At 38.2% G+C, this 24132-nt stretch overlaps 1 protein-coding gene across 29 annotated transcripts in view; it reads left to right on the forward strand.

The window, feature by feature from the left end:
* ABCA13 (ATP binding cassette subfamily A member 13) overlaps window positions 1-24132 on the forward strand; it is a 476040-nt gene that overhangs the window by 94665 nt on the left and 357243 nt on the right. For all 29 annotated transcript variants that reach the window (XR_926914.3, XR_926915.3, XR_926919.3 and 26 more), the window contains 5 exons: window positions 2858-2972; window positions 5665-10443; window positions 11972-13798; window positions 15221-15330; window positions 21838-21956. Coding sequence is in view for 26 of the 29 variants with exons in the window: in XM_011515130.3 (XP_011513432.1) it covers window positions 2858-2972; window positions 5665-10443; window positions 11972-13798; window positions 15221-15330; window positions 21838-21956 (6950 nt within the window). In the remaining 3 variants the exon portion in view is untranslated. The remainder of the gene's footprint in view (window positions 1-2857; window positions 2973-5664; window positions 10444-11971; window positions 13799-15220; window positions 15331-21837; window positions 21957-24132) is intronic.

Below are 24132 nucleotides of genomic sequence, written 5' to 3' on the forward strand. Positions count from 1 at the left end.
TCCACTTGATCAAAATATATTACCTTTTTATCTATTATTGGATTTAATTTGTTAAAATTTTGTTTAACATTTTGCATCAGTTTTTATGAGGGGCAGTGGTCTTTAGTAGTCTTTTTAAAATTTGTCTTTGTCTTATATTTATAGGTAATCATAACCTCATAGAATTATTCAGAAGTATTCTCTTATTTTCAATTTTCTGGAAGAGTTTGTGTTGGATGGGTATTATTTCTCACTTAAATGTTTGGTAGATTTCACTAATGAAGCCATCTAGGCTTTTAGGGTTTTTTATTAGAAGATATTTAATTACAAATTCAATTTTTAATATACATTAGGGCCACTCAAGTTGTTCAATTTAGTATCATAAGGATTTTTTTTAAACTGTATTCTATTATTAACTTCTTAATTTGTATAGAATCAGTGGTAATAGCACCTTTCTCATAGTTGATATTCATAACTTGTGCCATTTTTTCTTGATCACTCTGCCTAGAGGCTTATCAATCTTATTATTGATCTTCTCAAACAACCAGCCTTTGATTTCATTCATTTTTCTCTAATGTTTTTATTTTTACTTCCTTGATTTCCACTCTTCTTTCTTTATTCTACTTAGTTTTGGTTTAACTGACTCTTCTAATTGCTTTGCATGGGAGATGAGGTCATCAATTTGATACCATTTTGTTTTCTAATGTAGGTGTTTAATGGTATACATTTTCCCCTAAATGCTGATTTTAGAGGCATCCCACAAATACTGGCATGTTGTACTTTCATTTTCATTCAGTTCAAAGTACTTTCTATGTTTCCTTTTGATTCCTTTTTTCATCTATGAGTTATTTAGAAGTGTTATTTTTCAAATATTTGGGATTTTCAAGAAATATTTCTGTTATTGATTTCCAATTTAATTTCATTTTAACCAGTGAACATTCTTTGTAGGACTTTAATCCTGTTAAGTTTATTGGGACTTGCTTTATGGTCTGGAATATGATCTACCTTGGTAAATGCTCCATATGCACTGGAGAAGAATATGTATTATGTTGTTGTTGGGTGGCATTTTTTTATAAACAGCAATTACATCAAGTTGTTTGATAGTATTGTACAAATCTTCTGTATCCTTACTGATATTATGTCTTGAGCAGCATTGAAATCTCTTGACTATAATTGTACATTTTTCTATTTCTTCTTAGATTTGTATTCATTTTTGTTTCATGTGTTGTGAAGCTCTGTTGTAATGTTCACAAACATTTAGAATTGTTATATGTTCTTGATTGATACTTTTATCATCATGAAATGATAATTATGTTATCATCTGAAACCTACTTTGTCTGATAGCTTTCTTTTGATTAGTGTTAGAGTGGTATGCCTTTTCCATCCTTTTACTTGTAACTTATGTCCTTATATTTCAAGTGCATTTCTTACAAGTAGCATACAATTGGATCTTGTTTTATCCAATCTTACAAATTTTGCCTTTTTTTGAGCATGTAAATTATATATTAGGTTGGTGCAAAAGTAATTGCTTTTAAATAAATTTATCATACCTTTAAAAGCAAAAACCACAGTTACTTTTGCATCAACCTAATAGTATAAAGTAAATAACATAAACCATTTTATGTGATTAATGTTCCCTTCTGCTAGTTCTATCATTCAAACTGCTGTCATTTTTGATTGATTAATTTTTCTCTTCTTTATGGGTCATATTTTTCTGCTTCTTTACATGCCTGCTAATTTTTTATTGAATTCCAAATATTACACATTTTAACCTTGTTTTGTGCTAATTATTTTTGCATGCCTATAAATAATCTTGAAACAAATTGCTTGAAATAATTTGATTCTTTAGGATCTCGTTTTTAAGATTTGTTAGGCAGGACTGGCAAAGTGCTCAGTTTGATGATAAATACTTCCCACTCCTGAAGCAAGACCCCTTTTTTGTACTTTACTCAATGACTAATGAATTATGAATATTTCAGTCTGGCTGATGGAAACAAAGTGTATTGCTGGTCCTGAGCACCAGAAACGGTTATCTTTAATCCTTTAAAAAAATTATTTATTTATTTATTTATTTTGAGACAGTCTCGCTCTGTCACCCAGGCAGGAGTGCAGTGGCGTGATCTTGGCTCACTGCAATCTCCCCCTCCCGGGTTCAAACAATTCTCCTGCCTCAGCCTCCCAAGTAGCTAGGATCACAGGCGCCCACCACCACACCCGGCTAATTTTTTTGTATTTTTAGTAGAGATGGGGTTTCACCATGTTGGCCAGGCTAGTCTCAAACTCCTGACCTCAGGTGATCCATCTGCCTCGGCCTCCCAAAGTGCTGGGATTACAGGCGTGAGCCACCACACCCGGACACCTTTAACTCTTTTGGGTGTTTTCTTCCATGGTCTCAGGTAGTTTCCTCAAATGCCTGTGTTGATTATTACTCATCTGAATACTCAAGCGAAGCACACTGACAATTTCCTTGCCTTGTGCAGCCTTCTCTGGCACTCTGTCCTGTGGTTTCTAGCTGTCTTTCAGAGTCTAAGCTTTTTCCCAACTCAGCACGTCCACTGGACTCTGGTGCAGTCTCTCCTTCCTGTGCCATGGCCTGGACTCCCTTAAAGCAGCAAGCTGGGATAATCATAGGTCTCGCTCTGTTGTTTACTGCCTTTCATGGATCAGTATATTACATTGCTCGATGGCCAGTGACTGGTACCTCATCTTGTCTGGAAGCACAAGTCAAATTAGAAGATTCCTACTCATCTTTTTTTTTTTTTTTTTTTTTTTAACATTTTCAACCATATTAGGTGAACTACTCTAGCATTTTTCACTTTATTAGATTTGTCTGTTATAACCAGTTTATAATTAATGTAGAAAATGTCTTTTTATTTAGCTTTTCCTGAGGAATCTCCTTGTTTTGAAGAAAACATGGATTGGAAAATGATCAGTGATAATTATTTTCAATTTTTGAATAACTTACTCAAGTCTCCAACAGCTTCCATATCCAGGTAAGTTATCAGAATCCAACTTCTAGGTCTTGATTTAATTATCATCTGAAGATAATCAAAACCTAATTATAGGATATGCACTCTTTAAAATTTATGAGCCTGATTTAGATATTGACACAATCTTTCATATGAGCTGTTCAATAAATATTCCTTTAATAGAGTGTGTGACTCAAGTATCAAGTTGTTTAATAGAATGTATGACTCAATGGATTTTGAAAGGAAATACAGATCGTAGTAAGAAGATTTTCCTTCAATAATAACATGATTTATAATAGATGCTCCAAAAATAAGGTATTTGTTTTGAAAAATTGTCTTAGCTAGTTACCTAGAGTTTAAGCAGGAAATCAATTCTATAGATTCTGTTAGTTTCAAAGACTCCTGGGAGAGAGAAGTGGTCTTTGGAACTAAATTTGTCGGACTATTTTCTGCTGTCCTATTTCAGCACGTGTATTGAAATGCAGATTTTTATGTCTGGTTATGAATAGTGTGTCCAGTTTAAAGGTATACTCGGTTATTTGTGGGGTGTATTGGAACATGATGGGAGAGATGTTTTGCATAAGAGCAGTAACGCTCAAACTTGAGAATGGATTAAATCTGTGAAGACTGCTAAAAATAAAAATGTCTGCACCTTGCCCCAGTCATATGAAATCTTGCTCTGTGTACAGGACCCAGGTTTCTATATATTTCACACATTCTATAGGTGGTTCCAGTGCACACCAAAGTTGGAGAACCATTCTGCTATATCTGTCTAGAATGGGGATTAGTCATTCCTATGGAACTTCTTAAGCCCAGCTATTAGTAGGAACAGAAGAAAGGACAATGGGATGGATCCTCTAGAGAATCAATTCCTTGCTTAGGTCAGATTTTTAATTCCTCTTTCCTGAAAGCCTCAAAAATTTAATAGCCCTAGAAAACCAGCACAAAACTAGTCTATATGTGCACAAGGACACATTTAATTTTATATTTGTGGACCCATAGCAGTTGGCACAGTGTCTTTCATCATGGATAGTGGTAGATAATTAGATGTTGATTTAATGAATGAAAAATCATTGAACATTAAGTGCAATTTATATTAAGAAAGCTGAACTTGAAATGACAAAACCTGGGTCGTCTCCTAGTCATGCCACATAATAACAGCTTGAACCTGTCAATTAAAAAAATAAAAAGTTTCTTTTTTCATGAAAGGGAAATAATGACGTGTACTTCAAAAGGCTGTTGTAGGAATGAACTAAGATAGTAGTTGTGAAAGTGCTTTATAAACTAAATTACTAAAGTAATATAAAAACGTGGCAATAATACTATTAGTAGTACTACTTCTACTTCAATTTATTATTCTATTGCTACTCCATAACCCTCTCAGTTCCCAATACAAATAAGTTTTATATTCTCCTCTATCAAGGCACAATGACTTGGATGGTAGTTAGGCATCTATTCTTAGGGAGGGCTGGATTTAGGCAAGGTTTATGTTGAATTCCTAATAGAACTTTCCCTTTTCTGATGGGATTTTTTCCCTAGGAATTATTTCAAAGAAGCCATTCTGTCCTAAAAATAACAACTAACTAAATTAAGACCATATTTTTGTGTGGGGTGCTCAGGTCTCAGCTATCAGGGAAGTAAACAGCATTCTTGCCTTTGATAGGTCTTATGTCTGTCCTATGTCAGACAGTGTGTTATACAACAAGAGCAGAGGGTTAAAAAACTTAGGAAGTAATTTACCCTGTAAGGCATAAATAGCCAATAAAGGTCAAAAATTCCTTACCCACAATTCTGAACTCTTACAAAGTCTGAAAATAGAGGCTTTTCTTATGGTTGACATCACAACTCATTCAGCAAAGATTTATCATGAACTGATGTGAAGCAGTTTCAAGTGTATTATCCTGCGTCGCGAGATCATTCACAGGTCTCACTGCGAAAGTGTTAATACGGTGATGATCAGGGCTGTCCCAGCCCTCACTGAGATGCATGAATACATATCTGATACCTGTATCATGCTACATTTCTAAAGGATGAACATCCTGAATTCTGAAACACATGTAACCCCAAGAATGTCAAAAGTGGACTTGTAAGTTCTGAGTTAGTAGAAGTTAGTTCTGCAAGTGTGGATTTCTGTTACAAGAGGGGACTTACAGTGTCTGAGTTGCTCTTCTGAGAACTCTGTATTTTAAAATTAAACACCTGGCGATAAGCTACCCCATATATAATAATGAGTTTCTGACAGTAGGATGTATATAGTATTGTTGAAAGAGCACTGGAATTTGCCTTCCAGGACTGGGAGTGCCCACACCTTGCTGAAACCCTACAGGCATGGTTTCTAATGCACTCCACTATCTGTGCTACCTTTACATGCCAAGACATTTTGAAATGGAATTAAATCCTAAGATTCTTCTGGCATAAATAGCAAACTTATCTTTAATAATCATACATATTATTGTTAAATATGCCAGGGGAAAATAATTGAGAATGCTTTCTTTTTGGTGGTAGGAAACATTTTAAGCTAAATATATATAACTTCATTGTGCATTTCTAAAACACTTTCAAATCCTCACATTAGTTTAATTTCTGTTGGAAATCATGTTGTCTATTAAATGTTTCATTTGTGTTTTACTATCAATAAATGAGTATTAACTTGGAAATTTGATAAATCAAATTTATTTTTTTATTTTATACTAAAATAATTCTATTAATATTACAGGGCTTTAAATTTCACAAAGCACCTTCTAATGATGGAAAAGAAGTTGCACACCCTTGAGGATGAACAAATGAACTTTCTTTTATCATTTGTGGAATTTTTTGAGAAATTATTGTTGCCTAATCTTTTTGACTCCTCCATTGTTCCCAGTTTCCACAGCCTCCCATCTCTCACAGAGGATATTCTGAATATAAGTTCTCTGTGGACAAATCATTTAAAAAGTTTAAAGAGAGACCCATCTGCCACTGATGCTCAGAAACTCTTGGAATTTGGCAACGAAGTGATTTGGAAAATGCAGACTCTCGGAAGTCACTGGATAAGGAAGGAACCAAAAAATCTTTTGAGATTCATAGAATTAATACTTTTTGAAATTAATCCCAAATTACTAGAATTATGGGCCTATGGCATTTCAAAAGGAAAAAGAGCTAAATTGGAAAACTTCTTTACACTTTTAAATTTTTCTGTTCCAGAAAATGAGATTCTGAGTACAAGTTTTAACTTTTCCCAGTTGTTCCATTCAGATTGGCCTAAATCACCAGCTATGAACATAGATTTTGTACGTTTAAGTGAGGCTATAATAACTAGTCTCCATGAATTTGGATTTTTGGAGCAGGAACAGATCTCAGAAGCTCTGAACACAGTCTACGCTATCAGGAATGCATCTGATCTTTTCTCAGCCCTTTCTGAACCACAAAAACAAGAAGTTGATAAAATTTTGACTCACATACACCTAAATGTCTTCCAGGACAAGGATTCAGCTTTACTTCTGCAAATTTATTCTTCATTTTACCGATATATTTATGAATTATTGAATATTCAGAGTAGAGGCTCTTCGTTGACTTTCCTTACACAAATCTCAAAACACATTTTGGATATCATAAAACAATTTAATTTCCAAAACATCAGTAAAGCATTTGCATTTTTATTTAAGACAGCAGAGGTTCTTGGGGGAATTTCTAATGTATCTTACTGTCAGCAATTGCTTTCAATTTTTAACTTTTTGGAGCTTCAGGCCCAATCCTTCATGTCTACAGAGGGCCAAGAACTGGAAGTGATCCACACTACTTTGACAGGCCTCAAACAGCTGCTCATAATTGATGAAGATTTTCGTATTTCTTTATTTCAATATATGAGCCAATTCTTCAACAGTTCAGTAGAAGACCTATTGGATAATAAATGCTTGATTTCGGACAATAAACACATTTCTTCCGTAAATTATTCAACAAGTGAGGAGTCTTCATTTGTTTTTCCATTGGCACAAATTTTTTCAAACCTCTCAGCAAATGTCAGTGTGTTCAACAAGTTTATGTCCATTCACTGTACCGTTTCATGGCTTCAAATGTGGACTGAAATCTGGGAAACCATATCTCAATTATTTAAGTTTGACATGAATGTTTTCACATCTCTTCATCATGGTTTCACTCAGCTTTTGGATGAATTGGAAGATGATGTGAAAGTCTCTAAAAGCTGCCAGGGTATACTTCCCACCCATAATGTTGCTAGACTCATATTAAATTTGTTTAAAAATGTAACTCAAGCCAATGACTTCCATAATTGGGAGGACTTCCTGGATCTCAGGGATTTTTTGGTAGCTTTAGGTAATGCATTAGTTTCAGTAAAAAAACTTAACTTGGAGCAAGTGGAGAAATCCCTTTTCACCATGGAAGCTGCCCTGCATCAGTTGAAGACATTTCCATTCAACGAAAGTACAAGCAGAGAGTTTTTAAATTCTCTGCTTGAAGTTTTCATTGAGTTTAGCAGTACCTCAGAATATATAGTCAGAAATCTAGATTCAATAAATGACTTTCTTTCAAATAATCTCACAAATTATGGAGAAAAATTTGAAAATATCATCACTGAGCTAAGAGAAGCAATAGTATTTCTTAGAAATGTATCACATGATCGAGATTTGTTTTCCTGTGCTGATATTTTCCAAAATGTTACTGAGTGTATTTTAGAAGATGGCTTTTTATATGTAAATACCTCACAGAGGATGTTACGTATTCTAGACACGTTAAATTCCACATTTTCCTCTGAGAACACAATTAGCAGTCTGAAAGGATGCATTGTATGGTTAGATGTCATAAACCATTTGTATTTGTTGTCTAACTCCAGTTTTTCACAAGGTCATCTTCAAAATATTTTGGGGAATTTCAGAGATATAGAAAACAAAATGAACTCTATATTAAAAATTGTAACTTGGGTGTTAAATATAAAAAAACCTCTTTGTTCATCAAATGGCTCACATATAAATTGTGTCAATATTTACTTGAAAGATGTAACTGACTTTCTAAATATTGTACTTACTACAGTCTTTGAAAAAGAGAAGAAACCTAAATTTGAGATTTTATTAGCTCTTTTAAATGATTCCACAAAGCAAGTAAGGATGAGTATCAACAACTTAACAACAGACTTTGATTTTGCATCTCAGTCCAATTGGAGATATTTTACTGAATTAATTCTAAGACCAATAGAAATGTCAGATGAAATTCCTAATCAGTTTCAAAATATTTGGCTTCATTTAATAACACTGGGGAAGGAATTTCAGAAGCTTGTAAAAGGTATTTACTTTAACATCCTGGAAAATAATTCCTCTTCTAAAACTGAAAACTTGTTAAACATATTTGCCACCAGTCCAAAAGAAAAGGATGTAAACAGTGTAGGCAATTCCATTTATCACTTAGCTAGTTACCTTGCCTTCAGCTTATCTCATGACCTCCAAAATTCACCAAAAATAATAATTTCACCTGAAATAATGAAAGCTACAGGTCTTGGTATTCAACTGATAAGGGATGTGTTCAACTCCTTAATGCCTGTAGTTCATCACACTAGTCCACAAAATGCAGGTTATATGCAAGCTTTGAAGAAGGTAACTTCTGTCATGCGTACCCTTAAGAAGGCAGACATAGACCTTTTAGTGGATCAGCTTGAACAAGTTAGTGTAAACCTAATGGATTTCTTTAAGAATATCAGTAGTGTGGGAACTGGCAATTTAGTGGTCAATTTGCTTGTTGGCTTGATGGAAAAATTTGCAGACAGCTCACATTCTTGGAATGTTAATCATCTGCTGCAGCTCTCACGCCTGTTTCCTAAAGATGTTGTGGATGCTGTGATAGATGTGTACTATGTGCTTCCTCATGCTGTAAGGCTCCTGCAGGGAGTACCTGGTAAAAACATCACTGAAGGCCTCAAGGATGTCTACAGCTTCACACTCCTTCATGGCATAACCATTTCAAATATCACCAAGGAAGACTTCGCAATTGTGATAAAAATTCTTTTGGATACAATTGAATTAGTATCAGATAAGCCAGATATTATTTCAGAGGCTTTAGCTTGTTTTCCTGTGGTTTGGTGCTGGAATCACACAAATTCTGGATTTCGGCAGAATTCAAAGATAGACCCCTGCAATGTCCATGGGCTCATGTCTTCTTCCTTTTATGGCAAAGTGGCCAGTATACTTGATCATTTCCACCTGTCTCCCCAAGGTGAAGATTCACCATGTTCAAATGAAAGCTCCCGAATGGAAATAACTAGGAAAGTGGTCTGCATAATTCATGAATTAGTGGACTGGAATTCTATTCTTCTGGAGCTCTCTGAAGTCTTCCATGTTAACATTTCTCTTGTGAAAACTGTGCAGAAATTTTGGCATAAGATATTACCGTTTGTCCCACCTTCAATAAATCAAACTAGGGATAGCATCTCTGAACTCTGTCCTAGTGGTTCCATAAAGCAAGTTGCTTTGCAAATCATAGAAAAACTTAAAAATGTCAACTTTACAAAAGTTACATCAGGTGAAAATATTCTTGACAAACTAAGTAGTTTAAACAAGATCCTTAACATTAATGAAGACACAGAGACATCTGTTCAAAATATTATTTCCTCAAATTTGGAAAGGACAGTACAATTGATTTCTGAAGACTGGAGCCTAGAAAAAAGTACGCATAATCTACTCTCTTTATTCATGATGCTCCAGAATGCAAATGTCACAGGTAGCAGTTTAGAAGCATTATCAAGTTTTATTGAAAAAAGTGAAACACCTTACAACTTTGAAGAACTATGGCCCAAGTTTCAACAAATCATGAAAGACCTAACCCAAGATTTTAGAATCAGACACCTGCTTTCTGAAATGAACAAAGGAATCAAAAGTATAAATTCAATGGCTCTTCAAAAGATAACTTTGCAGTTTGCCCATTTCCTGGAAATCCTGGATTCACCGTCATTGAAGACATTAGAAATTATTGAAGATTTTCTATTGGTCACAAAAAACTGGCTTCAGGAATATGCAAATGAGGATTACTCCAGAATGATAGAAACATTATTCATTCCTGTGACCAATGAGAGTTCAACTGAAGATATAGCTTTGTTAGCCAAAGCTATTGCTACTTTTTGGGGCTCTTTAAAAAATATATCTAGAGCAGGCAATTTTGATGTTGCCTTTCTTACCCATCTGCTAAATCAAGAACAGCTGACTAATTTCTCAGTTGTTCAGCTGCTTTTTGAAAACATCCTAATTAATTTGATCAATAACTTAGCTGGGAATTCTCAGGAAGCAGCTTGGAACTTAAATGATACTGACCTTCAAATAATGAATTTCATTAACCTTATCTTGAACCATATGCAGTCAGAAACTAGTAGGAAAACAGTTCTCTCTCTGAGAAGCATAGTAGATTTCACAGAACAGTTTTTGAAAACATTCTTCTCCCTTTTTCTAAAGGAAGATTCTGAGAACAAAATATCTCTTCTGCTGAAATATTTCCACAAAGATGTTATTGCAGAGATGAGGTGAGTATACTTTTGCTTTGTGTCATATATGCAGTTGCGATATATCTCAAACTACTTTATTTTCTGGAGTATAGACATGTCAAAAACAGTATTTGTATCTAATACCTTTGAAAGATCTTTGATGTAAATTTGTCTTAATAAATATTTTATCAAAATGTCAAGGTAAAAGAATTTTGATTACTGTCATCTAGTAAAATATAAACCCAGCCCAGGGTAATTAATCACGTATTATTCTTACATTTTTAGATTATGAAAACAATTATGAATTCTATTTTATATGGATCTGAAAAATTAGTTTTCATAGCTGTACATGCATATACAGGATTGACATAATTTGAATTGCTATACTAACTGTCTAATCACCAACTAGGGGCTTAAGTATTCTCAACCCAATGAATCTACTGTGGTATTTGCATTTAGAGACATAAAAATTGATAATCACATTATCTTCTTTTCATATATCTTTAAAAATCTCGTTTGAAGTTTGCCAGTGAAAAGGCTGGAGGGAAATTCCAATTTATTCCATGATGTCTGCTTTAGTCAAGTTTCAAGCAGAGTAACAAAAATCATCAAAGGATTTAATCCAAGGAAATCAGCTTACACAATTTTGGGGGCTGGCTGAGTAAGTCTGCAATCAGTAGGGCTGACTGTCAGGAAGGGAGGCCCACAGTAGGCAGGGGCGCCCACAGCAGGCAGGGGCGCTGCGGGCATGAGTGAAAGCTCCTTGTCCACAGTGGTCAGGAAGGAAGACCAGGGGAAGGGAGAGCCACTGACTATGAATACCCAGCAGTGGTTTTGTGCCTCTAAGTTACAGAGGTTCTATGCCCTCTTTCAGAGTTTTCCTGGCCCACTCAGGACAGTATCCCTTCTGACTAATTTAAAGTTAACTGATCAGGGATTTTAACTCCATCTGCAAAATCTCTTTATAGCAACACCTAGGTTAGTGTTCGATTGAATAGCTGGGAGAAGATGTACTTATATTACAAAATGGCTATAACTCCCATCTATCCTAGAACTCTCATGAGAGAATCTCCCCTGTAGCCCACCCAGATGAGAAACATACAAGAAAGGGGCTTCTTCAGCTATTGTTTAGCCTAGTCATGTTGATACATCTGTCTGAGCAATTTGCTAGTACTTCTAAAGCTCAGAAAAATATAAATATGCTAACCACTTTTCAGACACTTATCTCTTACATCAAGAATCACATTGTAGTCATTTTACTTTCTTTCCTAAGTAAAAGCCCTTTTAACCTTTTTCATAAGCAAAAGTTTGTGGCTTTTTAAGTTGCTAGGTTTAAAGAACTGTAACAGAATTTGTTCATGAAATTCCTCACTCTTTTCATTATTTGGCAACAAAATATTGAGTTTCATCTGAAATTATTTTAGCATGTCATCTTTTGCTCAGTATTATCTTCCCATGATGCTATTATAAAACAAATAAAATAATATAAATCACTATGTATCTTAATATTTCCACTGTTAATGTATTAAAAATTAAATTAAAAGTATATATATATATATATTTACAGTTTTGTCCCAAAAGATAAAATTCTAGAAATTCTGAAACTGGATCAATTTCTTACCCTGATGATACAAGACAGATTGATGAACATTTTTTCAAGTTTAAAGGAGACTATATATCACCTAATGAAAAGTTCATTTATATTAGACAATGGAGAATTTTATTTTGATACTCATCAAGGACTGAAGTTCATGCAAGATTTATTTAATGCCCTTCTCAGGGAAACTTCAATGAAAAATAAGACTGAAAATAATATAGACTTTTTCACAGTGGTGAGTCAGTTGTTTTTCCATGTGAATAAGTCTGAGGACCTCTTCAAACTCAATCAAGATCTTGGGTCAGCTCTTCACCTTGTAAGAGAATGTTCAACAGAGATGGCAAGACTTCTGGATACAATTTTACACTCTCCTAATAAGGACTTCTATGCTTTGTATCCTACCCTCCAAGAAGTTATACTTGCTAATCTAACGGATTTGCTTTTCTTTATAAATAATTCATTCCCTCTAAGAAACAGAGCAACATTAGAAATTACTAAGAGATTAGTTGGTGCTATTTCAAGAGCAAGTGAAGAAAGTCACGTCCTGAAACCCCTCTTAGAAATGTCTGGGACTCTGGTCATGCTGTTGAATGACAGTGCTGACCTGAGAGATCTTGCCACATCAATGGACTCCATTGTGAAACTTCTTAAGCTGGTCAAGAAAGTTTCGGGGAAGATGTCCACAGTTTTTAAAACTCATTTTATCTCCAATACCAAGGACAGTGTGAAATTCTTTGACACTCTGTATTCCATCATGCAACAAAGTGTTCAAAATCTTGTGAAAGAAATAGCTACTTTAAAAAAAATAGATCATTTCACATTTGAAAAGATAAATGATTTGTTGGTGCCATTTCTTGACTTGGCCTTTGAAATGATTGGGGTAGAACCTTATATATCATCAAACTCTGATATTTTCAGTATGTCACCTAGCATACTCTCATATATGAACCAATCTAAGGACTTTTCTGATATTTTGGAAGAAATTGCTGAATTTTTAACATCTGTGAAAATGAACTTGGAAGATATGAGGAGTCTTGCGGTAGCATTTAACAATGAGACTCAAACATTTTCTATGGATTCTGTCAACTTACGGGAAGAAATTCTGGGTTGCTTAGTTCCTATAAATAACATCACCAACCAAATGGACTTCTTATACCCTAATCCAATTTCCACTCATAGTGGCCCTCAAGATATAAAATGGGAAATAATTCATGAAGTGATCCCTTTTTTGGATAAAATATTATCACAAAACAGCACAGAAATAGGATCTTTCTTGAAAATGGTGATCTGTCTCACCTTAGAAGCTCTTTGGAAAAACTTAAAGAAAGATAATTGGAATGTTTCTAATGTGTTGATGACATTTACTCAGCATCCAAATAACCTTTTGAAAACCATAGAAACAGTTTTAGAGGCCTCCAGTGGAATTAAAAGTGACTATGAAGGTGATTTGAATAAAAGTTTATATTTTGACACACCTTTGAGTCAGAATATAACTCATCATCAACTTGAAAAAGCAATCCATAATGTTTTAAGTAGAATAGCTCTCTGGAGGAAAGGACTTCTGTTTAACAACTCTGAATGGATAACTTCCACAAGAACTTTGTTTCAGCCACTTTTTGAGATTTTCATTAAAGCAACCACCGGAAAGAATGTCACATCAGAAAAAGAAGAGAGAACCAAGAAAGAGATGATTGACTTTCCTTATAGTTTCAAACCATTTTTCTGTTTGGAGAAATACCTGGGAGGATTATTTGTATTGACTAAATACTGGCAACAAATCCCACTAACAGATCAAAGGTAATTAAAAAGCTGAATTCACTTTGTTTTTTTCTCTACCGCAGTAGCTATAAAATAGAACCATGCAGGAATTACAGTGAATCGGGGTAAGTAGTTCTTCTTGACTTCAACTTTGTTTACACTCTGAAGTTGGCTTCAACATAGAGCAATTCAGGTCCAGTCATTCTTTTTCATAATTCGACTCATTATTTGGCATTCAAATATAATTGCAGTTTATTCAAAATATTTCAAAAGTAAGTTATTTTATTCTCAGAAGCAAAAACCTCTTATTCTATTCACTCATCCCAAGACTAGTTGCATAAACAATTTTTCTGTTCATATCCTCTGGCAGCCAAGGGTCCTATGACTCAGTATACACACAAGAACATGAAGCTGCTTGCTTCACAGAAAATTATGCTTTCAGTTGTAGCTAACCACAGGAAAGGGCCAGGCAGCTGCTGGCTTCTGCCCTTTTTTGATTCTGCCAGACTTCACGTGGTTGATCCACCTCCAAGCCCTCCTATCGCTGAAAGTTATGTCCATAGAAACCTGTTCTTAAAAGCTCCAGTCTTGCTAGTTGTCATGCCTTGGAAGCAGTCTGTTGCCTTAGGTTGGAGACCCTGTGCCTCTTGATGTGCAGAGGCCCAGAGATGCTGCAGCTGTCCCTACCTGTCCTTTCTGTGGGTGAAAATACTGTTAGGGTGGTCCCTGGTCTCTGTTTCTCCCTGCTTTCCTCTCTGGCCCACATGGAGATTGGAGATGCCATGTCAACCCTGGTTCATTTGCCAGGCAGGCTGACTTATTTTCTGTTGGTTCTATTACTCCAGAGATGTACCTTGAATCCAGTCATGTTCTATGAGTTGGAAAGATGTCTTTAGTTGGTGAAACAGGTAGCCACTGGCACAAATAACTATTGCTACCTAGGAATTTGACTGCTAGTTTTCAGAGCTTCCTTCTTCATCTCCTCCTTGCTTCTGATGTCAAACTATATTTTGTTTGACTTTAGTGCTCTTCTCTGAATTGTCTTTTGAGCTGAGGTGGTCCTGGCAACCCCATTCTCCACCAATCTCAGGTTTTATCTCAAATTTTTCAGTTCTCCACAGAGGGAGTTTATACCTTAGCTCTTCATACCATCATGTTTTGACACCTTTTCAACATTTACCTTTGCATTTCAAAAGAATAGAACAAAAGAAGAAAGAAAAGCAAGTATTAAGCTTATTGGCCACAAAATTGATGCTTTGAAATAATTCTGGAGACCTAAAGTTTTCTAAAGGTCCAGAATGTGTTATCTGTGTTTTCTTATGTTCCTATGAAGAAAATATGATTATGCAGGGAGGGAGGATGGTTCTTACATGTGTGTTATAACTTAACCTACACAGTAGAGATGCACATGGGTTGCACATTTTTACCCTTTTATGTCATTGTATATATTTTTTTGCTAAGTGTTGTTGAGATTTGTGAAGTTTTCCAGCAGACTGTGAAGCCCTCAGAAGCCATGGAGATGCTGCAGAAAGTGAAGATGATGGTCGTACGTGTGCTCACCATCGTTGCAGGTGGGCTGCTCATATAACAAGTGCTCTGCAATTGCCCTGTGCCAGTTTTCAGAACTCAGGTGTCAGAGAGATGAGTATATTGCACTTGAGTTTCTTTTAGAACAAAGCACAGCTGTCTTAGTCTGGCAACCAGGCCTTGAGGGATCTGCCCCTCCCAACCTCATTCCCACCACTGGGCCTCTACTCCAGCCAAATTGAACGGCCCGTTCCTGCGCCTTTGCTGGGTTTTCTGGTCTCTGTCTTTGCTCATGGAATGTGCTTCCCTTGTCTTCTTGACCTAAACTACAGCCGTACTCTGTGGCCTAGAGCTGGGGGTGTCTTGTCCAGAAGTGTTCCCCCATCTCCTTTACTGGCAAAGACCTTGAGGAGACTTTGATCACGTGCAGTATCGTACTTTCTTCTTTCTTACATTTCCTCCCTCTGCTACAGTCAATATTTTTTGAAGATAGAAACTGTGTCATAACCTTCTGTGTGCATTTCCTGATGGGTGCTGAGTAGTCCCTGCAGTAACCTGAATTCCCTACAGCCGTGGCACTTATTGCTGGTATTATAGTTTTTGGTGTCTTCTTTTCCTGCTGCAGTCTGTAAGCTTACTGGGAACAGGATCAGTCTCTTGCTAAATTCTGTGTCTCCATAATACTCAGCATAGTGTCCAGCAATAGTGACTATATTGTAAATGAATTAATTCATCTGCTAAGATGATACTTGCCAAATCCATTCCTGCACATTTCAGTGCAATCTCCTTTCAATGCCACTGCTGAAGGAGAGTCCCACGAGCTGCTTTAGAGGGTAACTAGATGATCTTAGGGCTTTTCTGAAAATGTGAACATTAGACTTTAGAGCACACTTGAGTCCATGGAATGGACCACAGTTGTTTAAGTAATTCACAGGTGCACAGAGGTGCTGCCATCCTCTGGCCCAGTCTCCTGAGCAGGGCTGCCCAGAGCCCCCTCAGTGGGCTACTGGGCCTGAGTACCCTGTCTTAGCTGATGGCAGTGGGTTTTGACAACATGAATCGAAGCCCAGAAGAGGAGGGGAGGCGAGGAGAAATGGGGAAGCCAAGGGTGGATCCGATCAGATCAAGAGGGAAAGAAAAAAGTGAGGGGTCATCTGAGTAGGGCTTACTCCATATCCTGGCCCCGGACTCCCTGCCCCCTAGCTCATCTGATCCACATGTTCATTCTTCTGCCTTTCCTTGATTTACTCCTGGATCATTATTATTATTTCGATTACTATCAGGTTGTTATATTATGATTTGTAGATTACGTGTTATTTCCTCTGGAAAGCTTTTCTTCACCTACCCTGTCTGGGGTCACATGGCCTTAGCTCCTTGTTATGGCTCTTACCACCGTGTGCTATTCTGATGATGAACATGTGTCTCTTCTACAGTTGTGAGAACCCAGAGACTGTGCCTGTCTATTGATCACTACAAACCTGGCACATGGGGATTAGAACATGGGAAATGTTGATTGACATTTGTTGAATGAATGAATAAGTGCCAGAAGCTCTTCTATACTTACGTCATGTTTCACTGGAATTACCAAATGTGAAATCTGTTCATGGGGGAGTGCTCAGCAGCGAGAAGTAGTGGGTGGGCTGTTGGCATGTTCTGGGCCTATTTTGTACGACTGAGCAAACTGTGGGGGCCTGGGGAGGATGTTGTAGAGAGGAGTCTGGTTTACCCAGGAAGGGGCACAGTGGACGTATTCCCAACATCCACTATCAGAAGAGGAAGGGTTACCGGCCCCAGGATGGCTAATTGGTGGGTGTGGGCCACTGAGTCTGTGAGCCAGGAGTATGGACCAGCATCTACTGGGGAGCGGTATGGAGGAGAAATGAGCCTTGGGCAGAACCAGCATGTCAAATCCATTTTTCAAAACAAAAAAGATAAATTTTTCTTTGTATTGATAAGTGCTAGAAAGAAGCTAAAGTATGGCCATGAGGGTGAGAGTGAGGGGTGGAGGAGAGGAGAAGACCTTGAGGGTGCAGTTCAGGGTGAGGACATTTCAGGTGAGACTTGCGTAGTGAGGATGTGTGTCTGCCATGCTCATGGTTATATCTTCCCAGGGTTTAGGAAACATACTGACATAGGCATGATAGGCATTCAATCAATATGTGTAGAAGGATTGGATAGGTCAATGCATGAGGGCTGGCACTAGGTTGGGCACTTGTGACTGCTTGAGTTAATCTACACAATCACTGATGGGCTTCAGACTAGTGTGCTGGGACTCGTGGTCTGTAAGGCTGCCTCCTTACTGTCACGATGGGGCACTCAGGATTATACACCTTCATGACTGGTAAGGCTTTATTGCCCCAAATATCTTTGAGGGCAGAGTCAAACATGACTGTTAAAACAAGTGATGTCGTGAGAAGTGCTGTAATGGAAGAAGCAGGCGCTTTGAGATTGAACAGGCTGAGTTCCTTGATTCATGCTGAGTGACACAGGGTAGCTTCTGAATCTCTGTGAGCCTTGAAGAAAACATAGGGGAACACCTATTTCAACCTATGTGAGAGGATTAAATAAAATGAGTCACCTCCAAGGGGCTTATCCTAAGGAGATGCCTTGAACATGCTAGTTGCCCTGTCCTGCAAGTTGAAGATGCATCTCCCTGCATGCCATTGGGAAAACTACTTCTCAGCTTAGAGGGCTAGTTCATAAGTAAAAACTGGTAATTTAGGGACTGTCTATCACAGGGTTAGTTCTAATCTGCTCACTCATCCCTTTTTTTGTAATACAAATGGTTGTTTGAACAGAAGAATTGATTGGTCATTGGGTCTAAGAAACATGGAAAAGGAGTAAGAAACAGAGGGAGAAGTGGGACAAGCTTGATTTAAAAATGAAACCCCAACTGCTGTGTAGGGGTTTTGCATGTTTTTTTTTCTTTTAAGATAATCTGTATTTCCAATTAGATGTTATGAACATTGGTGATTAGGAATATTGCTTTCTGTTGTCAAATAGAAATCAGTAAAGTGTTACAATCTAAGTACAAGTTAGGATGGTTGGTACATGATTTCAGCATTTGGAAGTGTGCTCAGGTAAAATTCAAATCAAACTTCTTCCTCGTTCTTGAATGCTTATCTTCCATATTGAATTCAGCCACGTTTGAAGACACAATTATCTGGACATTTCACAGTCAGCTAATATAATGGTTTTTAAATGAATTAAACATTCATTAATGTATGAATTTATATTTATTTTGCCATTCTGTATTGCAGCTGCTAAATTAATATAGCATACTTGAGATTACATTAGTAACAGATAATTAATTTTTAATTTTTATATTTTATTTCAAGGAAACTCAAGCATAACTAACATTTAAACTGCCACCCCACTGTCCTTATTGAATTGTTACTCCATCCTGTAGAATAGGAGGGCAGTGACAGATCCCATAAAGTTAAAGGGATGGGGTGGAATTGACCAATGTGGGCAAATAGCCCCTCCTCTCCCATCATATAAAGGGAACAAGAATAAGATCTGTTATTATTATTGTTGCTGAAAATGCACTATATTTTCGTCATATCACAGAGTTGAGTTCAGTATCTCCAGGAGGAAAGTGACAACTTTCCTTCTCCTGATCTAGTGCTTTAAAGATGCCAAGGACAATGCAGGAGAGCTCATGCAACGGAAGGAGCCTCAGTGGGCAGCTACTTTAATCTTCCAGTTTCCCTAATTGACGAATTGAGGCCCAGAGAGTGAGAGTGAGTTTCCCAGGGTTTCAGAGTGAAGCAGTCAGAGCCCATTTCCAGTTGAAGAGACCTGAGAGGGTCCATGGGGCTGAAGGGAGGAGAGGAAAGGGGTCCAGAGAGCGCTGGCAGATCTGGAAAGCCAGAGTGGGTCTGAATGTGTCCTTGGAGCCAAGAAGAGGGGCCACAGCAAGTAGGAAGGGCTGGAGCCAGGGATTGGGAGAGGCAATGAGAGGTGGAGAAAGAGGGTACCCGGGAAAGTTGGAGGAGTCAAGGCTCAAAACCAGCTCTTGTTAGTGTCGAGACAGTTGTCAAGTGTCCTTGAGGGTGGTGCCTTTGAGGGCAGGCTTCAAGACGTGTTAGATGTGAGGCACATGGAGGCCAGATGGCCTGACAGCCCAGCACTGCATCCCATGATCATATCATCCCTGACCTAACCTTGCAGGAATGCTGGGCTTGGTCACTGTCGACTCCACGTTGTCATTTTACATTGAGGAAGCAAGGGGCTGACACAGCCCACAGCTTGCCTGATGCCATACATTACATCAGCTTTTTCAGGGTGCATTCTCTGCTCTTTTAGGTTTGAACAACATAACTTATAAACACATTATTGTGTCTTCCCGAGACCAGAGGATATGTTTATGCTTAAAGATAAGTGCTGTGATATATAACAGCACATTATTACCTTCATTTCAAATTTTAATAAGAGATTACTTAAGTGACACATTTTATATTTCCTACAATAAAGATACCTGTCTTTGAAATTAGTAAAATAAGATTAATGAGAAAAGAAAAACAAATAAGGCATCAAGGTGGGTTGCTTCTGGAAAGCATGACTTTGGATATATTGTGTCTACTCTGCATTTTATGTGGTTGAAAACTGTTTTAGTAATTAATAAATTTTATATTTTAGAGTAGTTTTAGATTCGCAGCAACCTTGAATGGAAGGTGCAGGGATTTCCCATATACTCCCTTCCCCACCATAGCCTCCCTCATTATCAGAGTGGCACATTTGTTACAATTGATGAACCCACACTGACACAGCATCATTCCGAGTCCACAGTTCACATTGGGCTTCACTCTTGGTGTTGTCATTCTATGGGTTAGGACAAGCATATAATGACATACATCCAGTGTTACAGTATCACACACAGGGTTTTACTGCCTGAAAAATCCTCTGTGCTCTGCCCATTCATCTCTCCCACCCCTCTAGCCCCTAGCAACCACGGATCTTTTTACTGTCTCCATAGTTTTTGTCTTTTCCAGCACGTCATTGAGTTGAAATCATACAATATGTAGCCTTTTCAGATGGGCTTCTTTCACTTAGTAATATGCTGGAACTGTTTTTTCCCTTCCTTCCTTCCTTCCTTCCTTCCTTCCTTTTTTCAGACAGAGTCTCGCTCTGTCGCCCAGGCTGGAGTGCAGTGGTGCGACCTCAGCTCATTGCAACCTCTACCTCCTGGGTTCAAGCAATTCTCATGCCTCAGCCTCCTGAGTAGCTGGGATTACAGGTGCCCGCCACCATGCCCGGTTAATTTTTGTATTTTTAGTAGAGACGGGGTTTTACCACATTGGCCAGGATGGTCTCGATCTCCTGACCTCGTGATCTGCCCAACACGGCCTCCCAAAGTGCTGGGATTACAGGCGTGAGCCACCGTGCCTGGCTCAGAACTTTTTATAAAGGACTTTTGAGAAACAATTTATTATTCATAATTTAAGAGTCAGGATAACATTTTTTTTTCTAATTAAAAAAAGATTTTATTTCTTATAAAAATGTATTTTATTTTCTGTCATGACCAAGCATCTAGGAGGTACAAAGCCCTGTGCTAGGTGCCACAATGACAGGAAGGCAGTGATAAGAAAATTTGCCCGTGGCAGGTCTTGTGCAGATGGATTTATCGTGCGGTGGGAGGTGAGCACACAGGCATCTGCGCAGCAGGGAGGGGAGGGGCTTTGCTCAGCCTGGGAAAGGTGGGTGTCTGGAGGCAGAACTCTAAAAGATACGTAGGTTCAGGAAGGGAGAGTGATGCCTTGTATCTGATGGCCTTGAGGAGACAGGAGGGACATAGGGCATGACTGCAGAGAGGTGGAGGCACCTGAGGCTGCGGAAAGACATTGGATGCAACATGGAGCCTTTGCACAGATTCCTGTAATGGGGGATCTCCTTTGGGGAAGAGCCTTGTGGATCAGAGCGTAAGGCAGATTGGAAGGGTGAGGTGGGAGTGGGACTGTTAAGAGCACAGCAGTTTCCTGGGCGTGATCTATGGGTGCTGGACAGACGCACAGATGGAGAGACATTGGGAGGTCATGCTGAGCAGATGGGGAGGTTGGTTGGCTGTGAGGACCAGGGGGAGGAGAGTCATGACTGGCTTCCAGGAAGTGACTTGTGAGGCATGGGGCATGGAGAAGACCACACATAGACAGTGTGTAATTCATCCTTCAAACTGGGGCACTTTTGAGAATGACAGAGGGCACTGTTCATAACCATGCAAGAATAGGTGAAAAGCAAGTCTGTCCTGGGCAAACTGGGGTGAATGGGTACCCCACTTGTAGGGGATACAGGGAAAGGAGCCAGTTTGAGGAGGTAGAGATAATTAATATTTACAAAATCAATTAGGCCCAGAAAAGCAAAATCTTTATTTTATTACATTTGGAACTCAAAAGGCACAGCTTTACCCTCATCATCTGAATGTTCATCTTGATGATTTAAGAAATGTTTAGGAATTTGTATCACTTTGAATCTTTAAAAAGTGATTTTGTGAGAGTGGCTAGTTCAGGAGAGGACTGTCTATTAATTATTTCTCTGTGTGTTTCCTCTGGCAGAAAACCCTTCCTGGACCAAGGACATTTTGTGTGCTACTCTGAGTTGCAAGCAAAATGGGATAAGGCATCTCATTTTATCTGCTATACAAGGGGTCACTTTGGCGCAGGACCACTTCCAGGTTTGTCGTCTTTAATATTTCAGAGAATTTCATGTTCATGACTATTGGCCCTTGCAAGGCAGTCCAGTTATTCAAACTTGCTGCTTCGTTCTTATAACTACAGCAATGGTGTCATACACAGTCTTGTTGCAAGCTGGGCTTGCAGAATGACTGCTCACCCTTCCTCCCTCTTGGCCTCTCCCAGTGGTGTGCTGGGTTGAGTGGCACTGAGTTGAGAGATCGGATTGTTAAATTTTCAGGAATTTTGCAAGCTGGTTGTTAAACATAGATGTCATCATTATAAATAAATTATATAAACTTATGATGAAATAAATCATGTTAGAAACACAAGTAATAATTACTCAAGATTCATCACTTCCTAATTATTTTAGTATGTTTTACTGTTATCTCTCTTCCTGAGATGATTTGCTTTTGTTGTATCCACATGATGGAAATACTATGTAGTCTTGTGCTAAGTGCAGTTCTTCCCTTCTCTACGTTTAATGACGTTATGGTGGCAGCATGAACTGGGCCATGCAGGAGCTTTTGCACCATGGAAATTGGCAAGTGCTCCAAATCAGAATTTTTTTTTTCTGGAGAGTTAGTTTTTAAATATTTACCAGCCCAACACTGGCTCTAACTCATTGAATACACTGGCTAGTACCAAAAATTGATGGCTGAATGGGAACCAGCATAGCAATTTCCTTTTTATTAAATTGGACACATGCCCAATAGGCTCCCATGCAGGGTCTCCAACTATAGCTGAATCAGACAATGTGTCTCTTATTTGGGCCCCACTCCTTTGTCCTAGAATTAAAGACCCCTGGGCCCCTAGGTAGGCCTGATCCCCCTGACAAGCTTGGACAATGGTGATGTCCTTCCAACAATGCAGTGAAGACCTGTCTCTCTTCTAGTTCTGGTTCTGAATGTTGTTTCTTGCTTTTGTGATCCATATTATCTGTGAGTATGAGATTATCACAGAAAGCAGAGAAATAGATGATGCCGAGAGAGATGAGAGATAGCCATGCCAGACTCCCACAGCATGGCAAGGGTGTCGAATGCCATGCCTTGGTGAAGTGTCAGGAGGGAGTGAGAGCTGCTGATCTCTAATCAATGTCTTGTGGCCTTTGGAGGAGTGGTGCCTGTCAGCAGGAAGCCCTGAGCAGTCCCTAGCAATGATTGACTTTACAACCCCAAATTTACATTGATTTTTTTAGAACATCAAATTCTTATTTCCAGGTTGTGCAGATCTTTGTCAGGTATTAAATGTGGATACAGGAAAAAAAAAAGCCCCACAGACAATTTTTTTTTTTTTTTTTGAAACGGAGTCTTGCACTGTTGCCTGGGCTGGAGTGCAATGGTGCAATCTCGGCTCACTGCAACCTCTGCCTCCCGGGTTCAAGTGATTCTTCTGCCTCAGCCTCTTGAGTAGCTGGGATTACAGGTGCCAGCCAGCACGCCTGGCTAATTTTTTGTATTTCTTGGTAGAGGTGGGGTTTCACTATGTTGGCCAGGCTGGTCTTGAACTCCTGATCTCGTGATCTGCCCACCTCGACCTCCCAAAGTGCTGGGATTACAGGCATGAGCCACCTCGCCCGGCCCCTCACAGACAATTTTTTAGTGATGAGTGAAGGTTATAATAATAAAATAGTCAAGAGACTCCAGCTTTCAGAGCAACTGACTCAAAGACTGTATTTATAGTTCAAATTGTTATATGATTGTCAACAAGTCTGGCTGGTAACAGTTGGGTTAGTTTTGATAAAGAGCAGAAGTTCCTGTCTTTAATGACAAAAATAGTATGTTGCTTATCTCAGGATGCAAAGCTTTTAAGATGGGTCTGTGGTTCAAGGGCTTCAAGTATGTGAGACTTTTAGAAATACAAATCTTTTTCAGGCTGTGGGATATGAAGTCGCCAACAGAGATGGGCAAAAAGCACAATGCCATTTGCTAGTTTTCAGTATCTAAATAAATATTTTAAATATAGTTTTCTCAGTAGCAACATGGAATTCCCATTTAGAGAGAAAGTTTCAGCTGATTGAATCGATATGACAAAAGTTTGGGGCTGTCAACTCCTTACCCTCTTCCACCCTTTGTTCCAAATAGTAGAAAGTAGCAATAAGGAAATGAATGGGGCAGAAATTAAACTTCAAAAATGACAGCAAGTGCCCACTGTATTTCCTGGGCTAAGCTGAGTTGG

Source organism: Homo sapiens, chromosome 7, assembly GCF_000001405.40.
Source record: "Homo sapiens chromosome 7, GRCh38.p14 Primary Assembly".
NCBI lineage: Eukaryota > Metazoa > Chordata > Mammalia > Primates > Hominidae > Homo > Homo sapiens.